This window comes from Homo sapiens, chromosome 8 (assembly GCF_000001405.40).
Source record: "Homo sapiens chromosome 8, GRCh38.p14 Primary Assembly".
NCBI classification, from domain to species: Eukaryota; Metazoa; Chordata; class Mammalia; order Primates; family Hominidae; genus Homo; species Homo sapiens.
Window position 1 is genome coordinate 56374157 of NC_000008.11, and position 21402 is coordinate 56395558.

The 21402-nt window shown below is 38.1% G+C and overlaps 1 long non-coding RNA gene and 1 pseudogene across 2 annotated transcripts in view, besides 1 other annotated feature; both read right to left on the bottom strand.

Moving 5' to 3' along the window:
- Positions 1 to 561: 561 nt before the first annotated feature.
- Positions 562 to 16554, bottom strand: SDR16C6P (short chain dehydrogenase/reductase family 16C member 6, pseudogene; annotated as a pseudogene). Its single transcript, NR_103832.1, has 4 exons — positions 16446 to 16554; positions 15967 to 16098; positions 7786 to 7943; positions 562 to 687 (listed from the first exon to the last, which is right to left on the bottom strand). The product of NR_103832.1 is annotated as a short chain dehydrogenase/reductase family 16C member 6, pseudogene (transcript).
- Positions 15467 to 16666: an enhancer, noted in NCBI's record as "P300/CBP strongly-dependent group 1 enhancer chr8:57302182-57303381 (GRCh37/hg19 assembly coordinates)". NCBI's record gives its function as "activates an origin of replication core promoter dependent on BRD2, BRD4, P300/CBP, MED14 and CDK7 cofactors, with strong dependence on P300/CBP, by STARR-seq in HCT116 cells {active_cell/tissue: HCT116}" and the evidence as "EXISTENCE:reporter gene assay evidence [ECO:0000049][PMID:35650434]".
- Positions 20787 to 21402, bottom strand: part of LOC105375849 (uncharacterized) — a 39940-nt gene continuing 39324 nt past the window's right edge. Inside the window, exon 7 of the long non-coding RNA XR_928910.2 lies at positions 20787 to 21235. This is a non-coding gene — a long non-coding RNA (uncharacterized LOC105375849). The remainder of the gene's footprint in view (positions 21236 to 21402) is intronic.

The window sequence follows — 21402 nt, forward strand, 5'->3', positions numbered from 1 at the left end:
TCCTAAATTGATAAAATTCACACAAAGCTATTAGCACAGTAGCTGGCATGTAGTAGTCACCCCATAAATGCTAAATCTGGACCTGGGTGGAATCCATGAACAAATACCTGGAATTCATAGCATGGGCCTTGTATGAAGTTGCTGGAGCTATTTCGCAAAATAAAATGAAGAACTTGTAAAATACTCTTAATATTTTTCTGGCAACATACTTGTGTTTTTTTGTCCCTTGTTTTCAAAGTAGAGCTCTACACTAACCAAACTAAATAGTTGACCAAAACCAAAAACATAAAAAACAAACAAAAAACCCCAAATAATTTGTTACTTATTTGTGTTGAAACAAAAAATGTGTGTTTTGCAAGACCTAAATAATTGTTAAATTTAGTCAGTGTCTGAAGCAACCAAGACACAGCAATAGTCCGAAAAGTTGTTTTTGCACTATTAAGGTTCTTCCTCTTACCATTAAGTAAATATATAAAGTTGCTTTCTATGCAAAAGAGGTAGCAGTGATTGGACAATTTGTTCACAATAACCAGAATGATAGTGAGGTCATTATTAACTTACTGTTTAAGAATCAATCCGATATATGCAAATTTGGGTATCATTAAATAAACTTGTTCCTCTAAAATAGCATTTAAAATTTTTTTGGCCACATACTCCTGCTCCAGAATTGGTAACAGAAACGGATACCTGGAATAACAATAACAAATAGTGATATCATCAGACTGGTATCTTTTTGCTGTCATCATAGGGCATTGATTATGAAATTTCAGATATGGAACTATAACATACAGCTTTAAACAGTCAAACAAAGGCCAGCTGCAGTGGCTCACGCCTGTAATCCCAGCACTTTGGGAGGCCGAGGTGGGCAGATCACCTGAGGTCAGGAGTTTGAGACCAGCCTGGCCAACATGGAGACATGCCATCTCTACTAAAAATACAAAAGTTAACCGGGTGTGGTGGTGGGCGCCTGTAATCCTAGCTATTCAGGAGGCTGAGGCAGGAGAATCGCTTGAACCCGGGAGGTGGAGTTTGCAGTGAGCCGAGATCGCACCCCTGCACTCCAGCCTGGGCAACAGGGTGAGACTCCATCTAAAAAAATAATAATAATAATAACAAACAAACAAACAAACAAAAACTAGTCAAACAAAATGCAAATCTTAGGAATTGCCTTGTGTTTTCTCTTATGATCAGTAATAGGACTAGTGCTAATATATTTAATTTCCTGGAGTAAACTTCCTGCTTTTGTTGATTTTCTGCTGTGTGATGGTCTAAACATATGGAAGTAATTGCTTTTAGATTTTTTTGTTTGTTTGTTTTAATACAGAGTCTCGCTCTGTCGCTCACGCTGGAGTGCAGTGGCACAGTCTTGGCTCATTGCGAGCTCCGCCTCCCCGGTTCACACCATTCTCCTGCCTCAGCCTCCTGAGTAGCTGGGACTACAGGTGCCCACCACCACGCTCGGCTAATTTTTTTTGTATTTTTAGTAAAGACGGGGTTTCACCGTGTTAGCTAGGGTGGTCTTGATCTCCTGACCTCGTGATCTGCCCACCTCAGCCTCCCAAAGTGCTGGGATTAGCTTTTAGATTTTTTTCTTCTTTCTTCCCTCTCTGTCCCTCCCAAACATCCCATAGTTGTATACTATTAAGAAGCAAAATTGCAGCCAGGCACAGCCCAATTGCTAATGCCAGCACTTTGGGAGGCTGAGGTGGATGGATCACCTGAGGTCAGGAGTTCAAGACCAGCCTGGCCAACATGGTGAAACCCCATCTCTACTAAAAATACAAAAATTAGCTGGGTGTGGTGGCCCATGCCTGTAATCCCAACTACTTGGGAGGCTGAGGCAGGAGAATCACTTGAACCCAGGAGGTGGAGGTTGCAGTGAGCAGAGATTGCCTCACTGACTCCAGCCTGGGTGACAGAGTGAGACTCCATCTCAAAAAAAAAAAAAAAAAAAAAAAGCAAAATAGCAAAAATTATCTTACCAAAAAAAAAAAATCTCTTGAACATGTGTAATGTGTCAGTTTAGGTAGATCATTGTTACAACATTAAGCAGAAATAGATGTTTGTGAAATCAATAGTTGAAATGGATCAGAATATAAATAAATATCACATAAGATATTTTATACTTTTATATTGTTCTGCTTAATTAGTTGAACCACACTTCCCTCAAAAATTCTGTTTATCTCAGCTGATTTTGGGAATCTGATCAATTTTCCACAACTGAATGTTGACAGTTAGTCTTTATATTTTATTCTCCTAAAGTTTTCCAGAACTATAGCCTAAAGGGCTCTAATGATTATTTAAAAATAGAATCTACAGATCATTGTTTAATTCTCTACCATTTTAGGATTGTGAATCTTTTTCTGGAGACTGTTTTTTTTTACGTTTGTTTATCTAAGGACACCAATTTTATACAAGTTATCATTTAACATCACTGACTTCTCTGGCTACCATGCCCCCTTATCCTGGCTGGTCATATTCTTTCTGTGATCTTAACATTCGAGCTTTTAATAAGACTTAGTCACATATTAACAATTCTTACTAATATTATTTTAATAATAATGTTAGAAACAAAGTAAATAGCTTAAAAATGTATATAAGTATACTTACATTAGATATAACTACATATGTACATATACATAAGTTTATTATAAATGTTACTGAGATAAAACATGTATAGTACATGATTTATTACTACTAATAAAATATACATTACTTTTTGTTATAAACACCATATAATCAATTACTTTTCACAGAATGTTTTGCTAATTTTTGTTGAATTCTTGCATCACATATATTCTGTCACATGGATGTGACACACTTTGGTTAACCATTCATCAGTTGATGGATATTTAGATTGTTTTTACCTTTCAGCTGTTATGAATAATGCTGCATAAACATTTGTGTACAAGTTTTTTGTGGGGACATGTATTTTCATTTCTCTTGGATATATACCTAGGAGTGGAATTGCTAGGCCATGTGGTAATTCTATGTTTAACATTTTGAGGAACTATCAAAGTATTTTCCAAAACAGTTGCACCAATTTACAGTACCACCATCAGTGTTCGAGGGTTCCAATTTATCCATATCCTTACAACACTGTTATTGTCTGTCTTTTATATTATGCCTTCCAAATTAATGTGAAGTTATTCATTGTTTTTAAATAACAGCTTTATTGAGAAATAATTCATATACCGTAAAATTCACTTCCTTAAAACATAAAATGTGGTGATTTTTAGTATATTCAGTAAATTGTTCATTGCTATCTAATTCTAGAATATTTTCATCACTCCCCCAAAAAACTTCGTACACATTAGCAGTCATTTTCTCCTTGGCCTTTCCTTCAGTCCCTGGCAATCGATAGTCTACTTTCTGTTTTTGTAGATTTGCCTATTCTGGCTATTTCATATAAATGGAATCATACAATATGTGGCTTTTTGTGTCTGGCTTCTTTTGCTTAAAATAACGTTTTCAAGGGATATCCATGTGGGAGCATGTTTCAAATTTCATTGCTTTTTATGGTTGAATAATATTTAGTTGTATCAACATACCACATTTTGTTTATTCATTCATTCATCACTTGATGAACATTTGGGTTGTTTTCACAATTTGGATATTGCTGCTATGAACATTTGTATAAAAAATTTCCTTTTCATTTCTCTTAGGTATATGGCTAGGAGTTCAAATATGCTAACTTACTGTTTGGCTTTTTGAAGAATTGTCAAACTGTTTTCCAATGCGGCTGGACCATTTTATAATTCCATCAGCAATGTATGAGGATTCCAGTTTCTCCACATTCTCATCAACACTTGTTATTATCTATCTATCTATTTGAGTTTAGCCATCTTAGGGTGTTTGAAGTACTTTCTCATTGTGCTTTTGATTTGCATTTCCCTGGTGATTGATGATGGTGAATATCATTTTATGTACACATTGACCACTGACCACTTATATCTTTTTTTTTTTTTTTTTAATGGAGTCTCACTCTGTGGCCCAGGCTGGAGTGCAGTGGCACAATCTCGGCTCATTGCAACCTCCTCCTCCTGGGTTCAAGTGATTCTCATGCCCCAGCCTCCTCAATAGCTGGGATTACAGGCGTGCACCACCACACCTGGCTGATTTTTGTATTTTTAGTAGGGATGGGGTTTCACTATGTTGGCCAGGCTAGTCTCAAACTCTTGACCTCAGGTGATCCACCCACCTAAGCTTCCCAAAGTGGGATTAGAGGCATTAGCCACCATGCCTGGCCATCTTTATTTGAAGAAATATCTGTTCAGAGCTTTTGCTATTCTTAAAAGTTGGGCTTTTAAAAATTGTTGAGTCATCAGGAATTATTTATATATTCTGGACACAAGTCCCTTATTAGCTCTAAGATTTGCAAAAATCTTTTCTCATTCTTTGAGTTGTATTTTTACTTTACCGATGTTGTCCTTTGAAGCATAAGAGTACTTAATTTTGATGAAACTACTTTATTTATCTTCTGTTGTTGCTTGTATTTTGACATCATAGCTAACAAACCATTGCTTAATTCAAGGTCATGGAAATTTACATCATTTTTCTTTAAGAGTTTTATGATTTTATCTCTTATAGGTAGCTTTTGGATTTATTTTGAGTTAATTTTTGTATATGATGTAGGGGTTGAGGTTCAACTTCGTTGTTTTGCATATGGCTATCAAGTTGTCCCAGCACTATTGGAATTGTCTTGACACCCTTGTTGAAAAGCAATTGAGCAAAAATGTAAGAGCTTATTTCTGGACTCTCAGTTCTATTCTGTTGATCTATATATGTCTATCCTTAAGAAAGTTTGACACTGTCTTGATTAGTATAGTTTTATAGTAAGTTTTGAAATGGGGAAGTGTGATTCCATCCGATTTTCTTCTTTTTCAAGATGGCTTTGGCTTTCTGAGTACCTTGCATTTCCACATAAATTTTAGAATCCACTTGTCGAGGCATGCAAAAAAAGCAGCTAGAATTTTGATAGGAATTACATTCAATCTGTAGATCAATTTGGGGAGTATTAGTGTCTTAACAATATTAAGTCTTCCAATCCGTGAACGTGGGATTTATTTTTATTTAAGTTTTCTTTAATCTCTTTTGAAGATGTTTTGTAATTTTCATAGGATAAGTTTTGTACTTTTTTTGTTAAATTTGTTCCTAAGTATTTTATTATTTTTGAAGCTATTGTTAAATGGACTTGTTTTACTAATTTCATTTTTGGATTATTCATTTCAGATGTATGGAAATACAAATGAGTTTAGTACATTGATTATGAATATTGATCCTTTGCTGAATTCATTTTGTAGATGTAATTGTGTGTGTCTGTGTGTGTGCACATATGTATTCTTCAGGATTTTCTATATACAAGATCATGTCATCTGAGAATAAAGATAATTTTGCTCCTTTTTTCCAATCTGAATATCTTTTTTTTATATTTTGTCTAAATGTTCTATTGAACAGTAGTTGAATCAGAGTGGTGAATATGGATAGCCTTGTCTTGTTCTTGATCTTGTGGGGAAAGCATCCAATCTTTCAGCATTAAACATGATGTTAGCTCTGGCTTTTTCATAGATGCCACTTATCAGGTCGTGGAAGTTCCCTTTTATTTCTACTTTCTTGGTCTTTTTATCTTGAAAGTGTGCTGGATTTTGTCTAATGCTTTTTCTGTGTGTTTTGACATGATCATGCAGCTTTTGTTGTTCTACTGAATGATGTACTGTATTAAATTCTCTTTAAATATTAACCCAATCTTACATTCCCAGGATAAATCCTCTTTAATCATTATGTCTTAATGTGATAGGTTGCTGGATTCAGTTTGCTGGTATTTTATTGAGGATTTTTGTGTTTATGTTCATAACAGGTATTGATCTTTGGTTTTATTTTCTTGTGATGTCTCTGTGTAGTTTTAGTATCAAGGTCATCCTGCCCTCATAGAGTGAGTTGGGAAGTGGTCAGTCCTTTTCTATCTTTTTGGAAATTTTTGAAATTTTGGTAGCTATTCTTCTTAAAAGGTTTTATAGAATTTCCCATGAAGCCCTCTGGATCTGGGATTTTTCTTGTGGGAATTTTTTTAGATTACTAATTTAATATCTTTAAGTCTATTCAGATGTTTTTTCCTTCATGAGTCAGTTTTGTTAGCTTGTGTCTCTGTAGAAATTATTCCATTTCATCTAAGTTATCTAGTTTCTTGGCACATAATTTTTCGTAGTATTTCCTTATGGTCCTTTTCCTTTCTGCAGCATTACCAGTAGTGAGGTCCTCTTTTTTATTCCTGATTTTAGTAGTTTGAGACTTCTCTGTTTTTTCTTTCTTGGTCAGTCTAACTAAAGTTTTGTTAATTTTGTTGATCATTAATGTTGTTGGTTTCATTGATTTTTCTTAGTTTTCCACTCTTCTTCATTTCTGGTTCTCTTCAGCTCTTCCTGTGGATTTGAGTTACTATCTGGTATCGTTTACTTACTTCAATATAATTTTGTCCCCACTCACGTCCTTTTTGCTGTTATTTTCAAAAATATTACATTTCTATATGTAGTAGGCCAAATAAAACTATTATGTACCTTTTATTTATACAATTGTATTTATAATCAATGAAGAGAAGAAAGGAAAAGAAATAGGCATTTATACTGTCTTTTAAAAATTACCTACTTTGTCACCTTTACTGTCACTTTATTTCATGTGGATTCAGATTACTCTCAGGAGTCACTTGTTTTCATCTTGAAGAATTTCCATTAATATTTCTTGTGAGGTAGTATGCTAAGCAACAAATTCTCTGTTTCAGTTTGCCTTCCTTTTGCTTTCATTTTTGAAAGAAACTTTTGCTGGATATAAGATTCTTGGTGGGTAATTTTTCCCCCAGTACTTTGAATATGTTATACCACTGCCTTTTGACTTTCATTATTTCTGTTGAGGTGTCAGCCATTAATCACATTTGGTTTCCTTTGTACATGATGAGACCTTTTTTTTCCTTTTGCTGGTTTCAAGATATAGCTTTGTTTGTGTCTTTTAACATTTAAATTTTAAATGATTGTCTTTGCTAATTTTGACCAGCTTAATACATGGCTCTTTGGGGAGAGCTTTCCCCTATACATTCTGTCAGCTCTTGACCACTTGTTTTGGAACTTTCTATTTAATTTTAAAGCTTCACTAGACTCTAAATAGTTTCATTGCCTCTAAGCCAGGCTTTCTGTTGGCTGTCTCCATGTCTCACAAATAAAGTTGATTCATGTCATTTGGATTGTGTCAGTCTCTTTTTTAATGATCATAACGACTACACTCGTCCTCATATCCAGTTTACACTTTCCAATATACTCACTGACTGGATCCGTATGTAAAAGCTCTCATATCACATTTGCATCCTAGTTTGGGCTGTTCTAGATAAATTTAACCTTCATACCAAAATGTCACTCTGCATTATTTACCCCCATATATTAATCAATTTTACAAAATATTTTATTTCAGAGGTTATTTATACCTTTATATTCTCTTTAGGAAAAAGTTGTCTTCTCAATACTACAATACCAAATATTTTCAAAGTTCTCAGTATTAATTTATTTTATATTTTAATATACTGATTAGTATTTTAGGTTTAAATTTTTACTATACCATAAGCCTCATAACTATATTATTGTCTTTAAATTGAATAAATTTATAAATGTCATACATATTGAAATTTTCTTTTACTAAATTAGTCATTCACATTGTTTCTTTTGTTTTACTCTCCAATTTCAAAACTTCAAAATGATCAGATGATGACATATAGTGGAAGTTTGTTATAAGAGCAAAGATTACTTTAAGAGTTAACTTGCTTGTACAGCCCTCAAACATTCCAGTGTTGATGAAATGTGGGCACACGATGGTGCTTTTAACTTCAGTTTTCTTTATCATAGTTAATTCAAAAAAGAGAGATTCAGCAAAGCCAAAGGCTGCAAATTTACTTGCAGAATAATCTGAAAAAAAAGTGAGGAACTATTAGTAATAGAGCTTGACAAGTTAATTCTTGGAATTATTTTAAAAATTGAATCTCCTTCCCCTTTTTGTGGCTTGTCCTTGGGGACAAAGCATTCCTGTCAGAGTCAATTTATGTGGCCAAACACTCCACTCCTACATATCCACACTCTACACCCAACAAAAAGATGGAAATCATATCAGTGTTTCCTAACCCAAGAAGACCAAAGCCAATAGGCATATTCTGGCTGTTTTTTTTTTTTAGAAGAGAATATATCTCCTTCTGGAAATAGAAGAGAATGCTGGAATTATAAATAGAGTTCAATATTCCAGAGATTTCCCCTTGATGCAGGAACAGCTTCTATCTATCTTGGAAGAGTCCTAATTTCTGACTTCTGTGACACATGGTGAAACAAAGTACTCATCTGATAGTCCATTAATACCAACTACTCCTGCTATACTTGAAATACAAACCAGGTGACCATGGTTAGCTTTAATCACGGCAGGAAGGAAGGCCTTACAAGTCTGAAAGGTATAAATGCACTTTGTCAATATTTCATTCATTTATTACTATATTTGCTTCATAAGTATTTGATGAGTTTACTAATTTAACAAATATTTATTTAACACCATAATGTGTTAAATTCTGTGGCAGTAGAAAAGTAGGTACCATATAATCATTGTTTTCAGTGAGATTAGAGGTTATTATCTACTAATCTGTATTATTTGATTTCTTTTTCTTTTGAGGTAAACTATACTAATTGACTCAAATGAACATTTTATATTTGTGGTTGGCTAAAAATCTTAAAACCTAGTTTTTCTGGTATGCTGAACTTTTCCATGTAGTTTTTAGCAATTTATATTAAAATTTAATTGCATTTACCTTCCTGGCTTTACCCTAAACAAGATTTGCCCTTGCCCTGATGGTTTGGCAGAATGGGAGGAATTGTTTAAGGAAAAGTGAATTTCAGTGCAAGCTAAACACACCCAGGTAAGTAAAGCACTACCATATCTTAGATCTATTCTTATTTCAGCACTCCTTTTCTCATTCACTATGTAAATCCAAGTTTCTAATATCATTATCTTGTTGGCTGTGTTATTCTACTGGTTCTCTTATAAATGATTTCAACCTAACCTTGACAATGCTCTGATCTGTTTCTATGAGTTTGCAATGTTAACATTGTCAGAATTTGGTATGTATAGTTTTGGAGAGTGCCAAGATGTGCTCACCTACAAGGGGCCAGTAGAATAGAAAGCAGACACTGGATCAAAGAATGACATATTTGTTTTTGAGATATTCTTCATCTCAGTAACCTTGTCCCAGAGCTGCTGAACTAATTGGCAAGTTTCTGCTTAGATGTGAACAATTGGCCTCTTTTGACATTTCCCATCCAAACGCGGTGGCAATTTATACATGTGTCTTATAGTTGTAACATCTTTGTCTTTCAAAAATTAAATTCTTGTTGCATCAGTCATGACTGTAGACTAGTTAGAAATGACAAGAGCTGGTTATTGTCTTTCAACACAAAAGTGTGAAAGATCCGGCCAGATGCCCAGAGGACATCTCAGTGACTGTCTGGTAGACCCAGTTAGGTTTAAGGACAGGAAGCCTAGGTATGGAGGCCCAGCAGTGGCACCACTATTGATATCTAAAAGTTTATGAAACTTTCAAGAAAATGAAGCTGAGAAATGGAGTTGAAGGTGAGTATCAGTGCTACCTTTGTAAGAAATCCCATGGCTGGGGACAGTGAAACTCCCCAGAGTAAGGGAGAGAAAGCAGTGACCTACAATAGTTTATCATACAGCCGAACACTGGTGAAATTATAAAAAACAATGATGACGGTGGGAAGTTACCTGTTCACAGGGATGTAGCCACTTTTAGGAGTTTTGGTTTTTGAGACAGAGTCTTTCTCTGTCACCCAGGCTGGAGTGCAGTGGTGTGATCTCAGTTCACTGCAACCTCTGCCTCCCAGGTTCAAGCCATTCTCGTGACTCAGCCTCCCTAGTAGCTGGGATTACAGGCACGCACCACCACGCCTGGCTTATTTTTGTAATTTTTGCAGAGATGGGGTTTCACCATGTTGGGGAGGCTGGTCTCGAACTCTTGGGCTCAAGTGATCCACCTGCCTTGGCCTCCCAAAGTGCTGGGATTACAAGCATGAGCCACAGTACCCAGCCTAGGAATTCAATTTTGTTTGCTTTTCTCTATCAACATTTTTTTTTTTCCTGCAAAGTTTTCTGTATATGTATTTACTTTTGGCTGTGGCTGAATTTGTGGCTAGCTTCTCGTATGTTCAGTTGAGAAAAAAGTTCTCCCTCCTAGAGGGAAAAGGAATAGGTAATGACAAGGGTCTGTTTGAATTTGCAGGCCTATGTACCAGTAGAGCACTTTTTTAGGACATTCTAGAAGATGAATTGCTCATAGGGACCCATACCTAGTGCTCACTAGATGTATATCTATTACTAAAGGAAAGAAAAAGGAATATAATTAAGTGTTGAGTCAGCAATTAGTTGCCAAAAATGTATTTTACCTTTTGTAAAATATTTTTAGTGCCTGAGAAATTAATAGAAAATTACATATGGATCTAGGTTTGCACATTACTCCTAATCAAAGTAAATCTGTGAACAAATCAGATTTGTTTGCTAAACAGCTATATTCTGTTAATCAGGATTTCCTGATTTTATCACATGTGGGATGTAATGAAAACAAACATCAGATTTGCTTGATTTCATTTTATTGCATTTATGTAAGACTTCTTTTTTTTTTCATGGAAAAGCCAAATTAATAAACTTTCTAATTTTTTCAATACTGGTTTATGGGTCAGACAGATTATCTTTGTTTCCACAAAATATTTCTGGTTACAAAGAATACAAATATGCATACAGTTAAATTGAACTATAATGAATGATGACTTTACTATCAAAAAAAGATTGATGTTTTTGAACTTTAGTTTTGCAAGTTGCTTTCACTTAATTACTGCACTTGCATTGCCTTTTATAATTTTTCAGTGTCATCCCTTTGACCACCTTTTAATATCACCAGTGATTGTATTGCTCTGTAGTGTAACTTAAATGGCTTGAATATTTTAGGATAATATTAAGTTGGGTAAATTTATGAGAAATTTTTGGTTACCAATACAATTAAAAAAATTTAAATTCATAGAGAAAAGGTATTGAGTCACTCAGCACCATTTCGACCTGCTTTTCGTAAAGCTTCATTTGAGATAGTAAATTCAATGTAATATACACCTTAACTTTTAATATGATAAAGTTGTTTATATTTTAAAGTGATCATTGAAAGCCAAAAGTGATATAGTTACATAGTGATACATTTTTTTGTGTGTGTTTAAGCTCGTATACACATATAAGAGCATATTAAAACTAATGAACAAAAGAAACTTCAGTATGATAAAGATGATGGACCTGATAGCTTAAAATCTCTTGGAATATTCCAGTCTGTTGTAAACAAGAGGTATTGGAAGGTTATTTTTGACCTTTGTGTAGTCTGCCCAGAGAGCATGGATTCTTATCTTGTCAAAATATTCTTACTCTGAGCACTTGAGACCTACTTAACTTTTTGTTAAATCAAATAACCAAAACTGGCCACATCTGAAAGATCTAAAATCCCTTAATAATTATACTGTGATGTGCTGTTAGGTGTATTTAAAAATCAAAACAAAACTATTGTCACTCTGGCTCTTAAGGCAGCCAATTACAGCTCTTCCATAGTTTTTGTTTAGAAAAATAAGTCTATAGAGGTGTTTTTGCATTCAAAGTCATCTTTGGTACTTCTTAGGTGACCAAATCACCCATGGTCTGTTCCCTTGGCCTGATTTCATTACACGGCAATTAGCAGCAGCAGGGTGGCTAGAGAAAATGAGGTACACTGGGTATGCTCCACATTTCTTCATTAGCTGAACCCTATTTAGGACCTGCCCTGAGAAAATGTGGGGAAAAATTGTCAACTCCAAAAGAGAAACTCAACATTTTCTTGGATGAATTCATTAACACAAATATATTTAACCAGAAATTGCACACTTGCCAGGACAGTTAGAAAGACCCTGAGGATTTGTCAGTGCTCTTGCTATAATAAGTAACCAAATTCTTATAAAATAATTATGTCTTATACCCCAATACCAGTTTCTATTTTCTTAATTTGGTATCTTTGGTTATTGAAATGAATTAACTAGAGCCATTGAGTTTTGTCATCAGTAGGTAATTTCTAGTCTTCCTGTTCTTGCCTGGAGTCTTCTAGAAGTACAAACTGGAAACTGTGCCTTGTCAAGACAGCCCAGAAGGACACACTCAGAGTCGCAGTGTGGCCTGGACCGTGCCAAGGATCGACTCATTGGAATGGGCTTCCCAGTGTGGGCTGACGTTGCCACAGTGAGGAGGCCCCTGCAAGGTCATGTCTGGGGCTGAGCCAGGTCCACAGAACCTGTTTAGTACAGGAGTAGATGGCTATGTGAAAGCAGGCCCTCACCAGCATCAGGCAGAACAGAATTAATGGTATATGTCTGGGTCACAGCATCAGTGAGGGAAATTTAATGTGGTCGAAGTTCTATTTTCTAATGGGCATGTGAGCAAGCCCTTTTTACTTCTTGATGTGTTTTCAGTTCTCTCTTCAGGAAGCTAATGCAAAGTGGCATGAAACTTTTTGAATGCTATCTTAATTCAAGGAAAAATATCTTATGGGGATCTTGATTTAGATTATAAACTGAGTGAAGATTTGAAGGAATGTAAGGATGATAATAATTTTAGTACTTGAAATTCAGATAAATGTTTTCACAATAGGTTAAGCTTAGAAAAATGTGTGGAATGAAATTTAACTTATTCTAATCATTGTACATTCATATACAATCAAACTAATTTTACAGATAATATGAAAGCTATTAATTGCCATTGTGCACAAACCTACTGATGGCAGTCGGTAGATTCTATTATAATGACTTACTGAGATCCTTTATCTTTCATGGTGATGTGCCTATCTGTACCTGTTCAATAAGTAGAGCGAGGCCTTCTTTTCCCAGGATATAATGAGTAGTTTGATAATGCAACCAGAGCACAGGTGTGCCCAGTTTAAGAATAAGTTTAATTTAATCATGTATGACAAGCCTATTCTTTAGGGATGATGGTTGCTATTCATATATTGAACCAGCTGCCTCCTCAGGAAATTGAACTGATACCTGCTTTATGGGTCACAAGTCCCCTTCCAGCCTTACAGGTATTAAGGGAGGTCACTTCCTGGTAGACCAGGAGCCTTGGCAGGTTTGGGAGACCTCAAGAAAAAAAAGGCAAATCTCTCACTAGAAGAATTGCAGTACAATTTCTCCCCAGAAGTACTGCAGGCAGCACCCGGTGGAGATATATTTATTGGGTTTGGTCTCATAAACCCTTGGAATAGATGAGCTAGTAAGAGCAGTAGAACAAAATTTTAAAAATCTCTCTAATTCTTGAGATGAATCAAGATTCTTTCCATCATCTTCAGATGGAAGTTGATTTCCTGGTTTCAGTGGTTGCTCAGTATCATCTGTCTCTAGGTTTGCTGACACACAACCAGAAGGCTTATGTGTGTTTATTAATAGCTCTTACCACTACCTATGGAGCTGATTCAAGGCAAACAACAGAGCACATACACAACGTAAAGATACAAGTTCAGAGGCTACATGAAGCCTAAAGAATGAGAAGGAGCTACTATGTGAGTGAGGAGAAAGAATATTCCTGTTGGAGAGAGAACAGCTTGTGCAAAAACCCTCAGGTGGGAAAGAGCTTGATGTTCTCTGGAGTTTAATCAGGATCCTTGGCTTGTAGAAAATTAGCAGAAAGTAGCTGGCTGTGGTGGCTCAAGCCTGTAATCCCAGCACTTTGGGAGGCCGAGGCGGGCGGATCACAAGGTCAAGAGATAGAGACCATCCTGGCCAACAAATTGAAACCCCGTCTCTACTGAAAATACAAAAAATTAGCTGGCATGGTGGTACCTGCCTGTAGTCCCAGCTACTCAGGAGGCTGAGGCAGGAGAATGGCGTGAACCTGGGAGGCGGAGCTTGCAGTGAGCTGAGATCGCACCACTGCACTCCAGCCTGGGTGACAGAATGAGACTCCATCTCAAACAAACAAACAAAAAAAGATGTGTTGGAAGTCACCAGTGTTGAGGGTGGAAGGCCCTGAGGAGCTGTTGGTGAGAGATGAGGATGGCTTCATCCAGGGGCTGGCAGCAGAAAGGAGAGACATGCACTTGGGCATGTTGTGCAGGGACAGCCAAGGTTGCTGGTGTTGAGGGAAGGGGAGGAATCAGGATGATTTATAGATTTGTGATGTGATTGTAATGGGTGCACCCTAGCTCCATTTAACAAGATGACATTTCCCCTTTCTGAAGGAAATGTTTGGGGTAGGGTAGTACAGGGAAGGAAATCAATGGTTTTCACAAATGTTTCTGGAAAACATATTATACGGCAAGCACTGTGGTAAGTGCTCAAGGAATATTGGTTAAAACAGGTTAGTGGGGGTTCCCATTATCTTCCCAGTGACCAAGGAAGAAGACCAAGGAAATAGTTCTGAGTTCCATGGAGAGTGGTATAAAAGTGTACAGTGGAAAGAGGGAGGAATCAGGAGACATGTAAAGGAAGCCCATTCCAAGGTCCTATTTTTGGAGACACAGAGAACTAGGGCCATACCTGTCCCCACTTCCCCATGTCTCCCAATGCCCTGGTTTCAGCACCTGTTTCTCCCACAGGCCCCATTTGCCGCTGATCCCTGTTCATTCCTTGGCAGCATCAAGTATGAACCCTCTTAGTGGAAACATCTCTGGTAACTCTTCTCTCCTTTAGCCTCTACCCACTTTCTAGAGTTGCACTGACCAAGGAGGTAGCCTTTAGGCATGTGTGGCTGTTTAAATATGCATTTAAGGTTGGGTGCGGTGGCTCACAGCTGTAATCCCAGCACTTAAGGAGGCCAAGGCAGGTGGATCACCTGAGGTCAGGAGTTCGAGACCAGCCTGGTCAACATGGTGGAACCCCATCTCTCCTAAAAATACAAAAATTAGCCGGCACAGTGGCGGGTGCCTGTAGTCCCAGCTACTCAGGAGGCTGAGGCAGGAGAATCGCTTGAACCCAGGAGATAGAAGTTGCAGTGAGCTGAGATTGTGCCACTGCACTCCAGCCTGGGCAACAGAGTGAGACTCTGTCTCAATAAATAAATAAATAAATATGCATTTCAATAGATTATATGATATAAAGTTAAAAGTTTAGTGCTTAATCCCATTAACCACACTTCAAGTGCTCAGTAGCCACAGATGACTAGAGGCTTTCATATTGGGAAGCACAGATGAAGGCCATTTCCCCCATCAAAGACAGCTCTACTGGGCAGCATTGTGTAAACCACTCCAGGCCTCAGGAAAGACACTCCTGAGCCATGAATTAACTCATCTTTTTCTGTAATTTTTCACTCTGTACTTCTTCCTTCTGTAAGCATGGGCCACCATTTACCAGTTGCCTGACCTTGGGGAATTCATTTAAATACTTTGGGCCTCAGTTTCCTTATTTGTAAAATGAGAGTGAAAATGGCATAATGGCTGCAAGTACTCAACAAATAGTGGTGATTGTGATTCATCCCCCCCTTAATTCCTCTATTAGAATGCCCAGTCCTGCATGCCCATAAACCACCACTCTAAAAATAGCCCCTGTCTCTGCACAAGCTCCTTTTGCACTCATGGCCAAATTAAATCTCTCTTGTATAATTGCTGTCACTTTCAGTTTGTATTTAGGTGGGAAGATTTCTGACAGCCTAATAAGTCTTGGGAACAAACTGCAGAGGGTAGAGGGAAAAAAAATTTCTCTGATAATTTGGAAGAAAACAAGATCAGGAAAAGCACAACAGATAAACCCTGCAAGGATTGAGACCCCACATCTTTCAATGGAAAATCCCCAAATGGTATGTTTATAAAGAAATGCATGAACAAGTGTTTATAGGACTGCATGGAATTTTCGTACTCACCAACAAAATAAAATGATAAAGAAAGAGGTTTACCCAGAAATGAGTGATGGCATTTACAAGAAAGGATTTTTCCACCATGTGATCTGGAATATCGAGGAAGGGCTTTCCCGTGACTAAGTCAGCATTGTTAACGAGGATGGTCACGTCACCAAATTCTTTCCTGACCTGGTCAGAGGGAGGCAAGCATTGGTTCAATTGAGGCACTGCATTTTGACATTTATTTTCTCAAGTTGCGATTTTTTTTTCTCATTTTCTTCATGTAGTTTCTCTGAAGCTAGATTTTTTTTTTTTTTTTTTTGAGACAGAGTCTCATTCTGTCGCCCAGGCTGGAGTGCAGTGGCACAATCTCGGCTCACTGCAAGCTCCGCCTCCTGGGCTCACACCATTCTCCTGCCTCAGCCTCCCGAGTAGCTGGAACTACAGGCGCCCGCCACCACGCCCAGCTAATTTTTTGTATTTTTAGTAGAGACGGAGTTTCACCGTGTTAGCCAGGATGGTCTCTATCTCCTGACCTTGTGATCTGCCCGCCTCAGCCTCCCAAAGTGGTGGGATTACAAGCGTGAGCAACCGCGTCCGGTCGAAGCTAGATATTTTTATCTTGCATGTAGAAATTCTTCAGCTTAAAAAAAAAAAAACAGATTTAGCCAGATTCTGGATTTTTTGTGTGGAGACGACCTGCAGCATATTTTCCTCACCTCCCATTTCTGTTACCTGACTGCCCGTTCCCGGGTCACTAATGGCAGTGGAGTCTGAGTGACACTGCCTGCCTGCATGTCTCAGAACGGCTCCCTTTAGATGGCCTTCAGGTTTTCCCGCAGCACATCAGCAGGTGTCTGATGCCTGCTTCTGTGGGCGTCATCTCCCCTACTTCTCTCTGAGGAGGAAGGCAAGACATATCTCATCCCCTCAAGCCGGGTGAGTTTTGCATGAACACATCCTAAACATGGATGCCTTTGATCCGCTGCCGATGGACTTCCATGTTTCTGTGCTCTTCTATCCAATGGACCCCGTAGAATCGAATTACTCTCTGTGACTGATGTTGCCTTGAGTTCCTCAGCTGTGCCGCTATTGTGCCTCCTAAGTCCTCATCATTTTCCTTCACCCTTCCCTCCTAAATTGCCCACCTCATCTGCCTGCACGAACCCCAATATACCACAAGCGCTGATCAGAGAAGAGTATGCTCCAGGAAACACCTGAGGGACTGGTTTCCTCTCTTCACCGTTTTGACTCACATTATTATGACTTTGTAGGTGACATTGAGAAAGGTGACCCAATGGCAAATCATGAAGTATGTTTAAACAGCAATTAAGACTTTCCTCCCCTGAAATGGATCTCTCAGCTGCTACAACTATCTGTTTCTTTTTTTCTAAACAAGGAGCACTACCTGCCCTGATTTTGTTTTCTAATTCCTGGTCCATGCACTGCTAGTTGAGCCTGCCAGATAACACGATTTGGAGAATAAGGTAAATATTGCTGCTGATGTAGTAGGTTGGAATGAGCTAGGAAAGGAATAGTTAATACTGCTGAGCTGATGCTGGGCTGAGGAATTAGACTCCTCTACTAGGGAGAGAGGCAGGGCAGAGGCAAACATCCACAGGAGACTAACTTTTAAAGAAGGGCATCTCATTGGCTTGGTGAAGCAATCAGTGTGAGCAAGTGCTCAAGACCAATGAGGTGGTAACAGGGACCCAAGAAAGAGGTAGAATCTTCAGCTTAATACGTTCCTGAACACTTAAGAAAAGCCCAGTGGCTGCTGTCATGCAGTTTAAGAAGCCTTGAGCCTTAGGGACAACAGGGACAAGAGAAATTTTATTTAGATCATGGGATTTAATTTTTACTTTATCTCCAAGAGGCAGTCTAGGGAGGCATCATTATCCTAGTATACAGATGAGGAAACAGGCTCTGAGAAATTAACATCTTGCCAAAAGACCCATAGCTTTTGAGAAGAGCAACAGTGATTCACACCCAATTTAAATACACACAAAAAAGCTGTTTCCCTCCAAATTTACTACTCTTTCTAGTAAAAATGATTATTGCTGTAACAAGCCAGTCTCATGTGTGTGCACATGCGCACACACACACTCACACACATACAGATAAATATTAATCATTGATTGGACCTGGACATTTGAAAATAAATTGTGAACCTACTTATTTTAACAAAAGCAATTTATTAATATATTGGTTTTCTATGAATGTTACCTCACTCTAATTTTGGGAAGTTAATTACCATGCACCTTTAGAATGCTGTTATTGCTATTCACTTTTCCACGAATTTCAAGGAATCTGGTAAAGCCTGTGGTTTGTTGAACGTCTTGAAGCACAACCCTAGTATTTAGGTTTCTTGGAAGTTGCTACATAATTGAAATAATACAAAAAACACATATAAAGTAGTTGGCTGAGAAAAATTCTATTTATAGGAGTGCGGAAAAGAACATTTTAATATGAAAAGATAATTTTAGGTTAAAGTTTTAGTCTGGTTTCTACTAAGTAACAAGAAAATGTTGACCAAGAAGGAAAGATTTGTTAGGGGTTGGCAGTGGGGGAAGAAGGCAGGAGATTACAATACTTTTGATCAAAGAAAGAGGATTATGAAGGGGTCTTTCGATTATGCACATATTGTTGATGTCCCTTTGGGAATGCAGCATGGGGTCTGACCTAGGCAATGGGGTCCCTCACTTGTCTGCTCTATGGCCTGGGTAAGTTCCTTAAACTCTCTCTGCCTCTGCTCCATCACTAGTAAAATGGAGAAAATGATAGTACCTACTTCGTTGTGAAGATTATATGGGATAATACTTTGGAAGAAAACACTTTTTCCAGGGTCCTGATCTGGCTAGTTAGTGGTACTGGGACTGGAGCTCTGTTAGACTACTTCCCAAGCTCATCCCGGATATATTCGTCTACTAACTTTTCCAGCCATGTGTCTTTCCTTTTTACAAATGAGGACTAACTTTGATCCCACTTGCTTTGTACTAAAATATGCCTAAGGATCTACAAAACAATACTTGCATTAGCTGGTGATGAATTATAAAGAACAAATCCTATGGGACCAACGAATAAAGAAGAAGGCAATAGAAAATGAAGGTCAAGGGTGAAGAGGGTGCTTCAGAAGGTTAAGTGTCACAAAGTAGGACTCAATCAATATTTTTTGAATGGATCAATAAGTGAATTCCATATATAGAGCTTAGATTGATTGTCAAAGGGGAGGAAAATCCCTTGGAGATTCTGTTATCAAAGTGTTTGCACCCCTTTGGGCCATAGCATAGTGGATAAGAGAACAGACTTTGGCTTCAACCTGCCTGGGTTGGAATCTTGGCTAATCATTAGTTTTATGATCTTGGGCAAATTACATATTCATTCGGTCCTCAGTTTTCTCATTTGTAAGTGGGGATGATGATAATGATGTATACCTAAGAAGGTGATATTGTGTTGATTAAATGAATTGTGATGTGTGTAATGTGCTTAGAATAGTAACTATTTGTAATATAGTGGGCTTTTGGTTTTTTTCTAGTGCTGTCTTGACCAATTTGAGGCCATGGCTAGAGGCTGATCAGTTCCCCTTCCTGAGCAGCCAGTTAAGTCCACATATCCAAACACTTCACTTATTGAGTCCTCACACTCTGGGCTGCTCTATGCCCACCACAGTTACACCAGGGCCAGGTACCAGACAACCAGGGGCAGCCTCCAGGCCCTAGAGCCCCCTGAAGTTATTCAAATTAACCAGTCCTGAACATGCTTACCCTGCCTTGCCCATTCCTTCCTGAGGAAAACACATAAAGGCCCCCACCACTGGCCCGACCTCCCTGCTTCATGAGTGACCCCAGTGCTCCCCTTCATGGTCCTGTAGGCTGTGCTGTGTTTGCCCCTGGGGACTGTGAGCAAAACAAAATGGAAATGCTCGATTCTGTTTCTTTCTCTCCATCTGCGTCTGGCCTCACCACACCGTACTCGAGGTAACATGGTTGAAACGCTACTCAAAAGCTGACCCATTGCTGTTAGGGTACCTGCTAGCTACGTAACAGATGGTAGCTACAATTTAGAGTATTTGTCAATAGTTAATGTGGAGTTAGAACAAATATCAACAGGCTAAGTCTAAGAGGAAATTTGATCTAAAATATGCTAAATGCATATTTATATTTATTTTTATTTTTGTTTTTACTGTATATTTCATATATAGCCTCAGTACATGATGATAATGGATATGATGCATTAGAATCACAAACCACTGGCCCGGTGTGCTGGTGCACGCCTGTAATCCCAGCACTTTGGGAGGCCAAGGTGGGCGGATCACTTGAGCTCAGGAGTTCCAGACCAGCCTGGCCAACATGGTGAAAACCCATCTCTACTAAAAACAATATATAAAAATTAGCTGGGCATGGTGGTGTGGGCCTGTAATCCCAGCTACTGAGGCAGGAGAATTGCATGAACCTGGGAGATGGAGGTTGCAGTGAGCTGAGATGGGCGCCACTGCACTCCAGCCTGGGCAACAGAGCAAGACTATGTCTCAAAAAAAAAAAAAAAAAAAAAAAGAATCACAAAACATAGAAAGTTAAGTTAAAGCTGGATATGATCTTAAAGATCATTTGGTTCAATCCTTTTGTTTTACAGACGAAGAAACAGGGACCTAGAGAGGGCCAGTAACTTGTTAAACATTGCACAACCAATGAGCTGCAAAGCCAGGAGTAGGCCGCTTTTCTACCACCTCCTGCCAGTGAATGAGTCTCCCGGAAACACAGCTGGGCAGCGCTGGGCTCAGGCTTCTCAGATCCCCACTTGCCTTGTTTACACTGTTCTCCCTTTTGAAGGTTACATAGTCTGATTTCTGACATGCAGAATCAAGCAGGAAACACATAGAGAGCTTGAGGGAAATTTATGACAAACTTCTATCTGTAAAAGTGCATACAAGATGCAGTATTTTCTTTGGGAACAGAAGCAGAGAACACCAGTCAGCTTACCTGATCAGCAACTCTGTAGACCTCTTGTCTGTTGCTACAGTCACACGTGTAGGGAAACACTTTCTTACCACCCTTTTCTTTGGCCAGTCGACACGTTTCCATATTGCCTTCTTGATTAACATCCCATAGAACTAAAATGGCTCCAAACCTGGCAAAATATATAGCCAATTGCCTCCCAAGTCCACTTCCAGCTCCCGTTGTAAGTACAATCTCTCCAGCAACATTCTTTTTCTTCTTGGGAATTATCTTGTAAACCAAAGATTCCAAAAAGTAATATGGAAATTTTCCCAAAAGTACTGAGGTGTCTGCAATCACATCCATGTTTATTGACTGCAGAAAGGAATGTTCTAATAAGGAAAAACGTAAGTGATAAATCCATGATACTATGGCAACTATTACAGTACACAGAGAACATTTTGCACAAAGAAATTTACCTTTGAGATTTACCTTTCATTCTCCAAAACATACAAATTAACAACAATTGACACAATTGTCAAACTTAAAATTTATATAA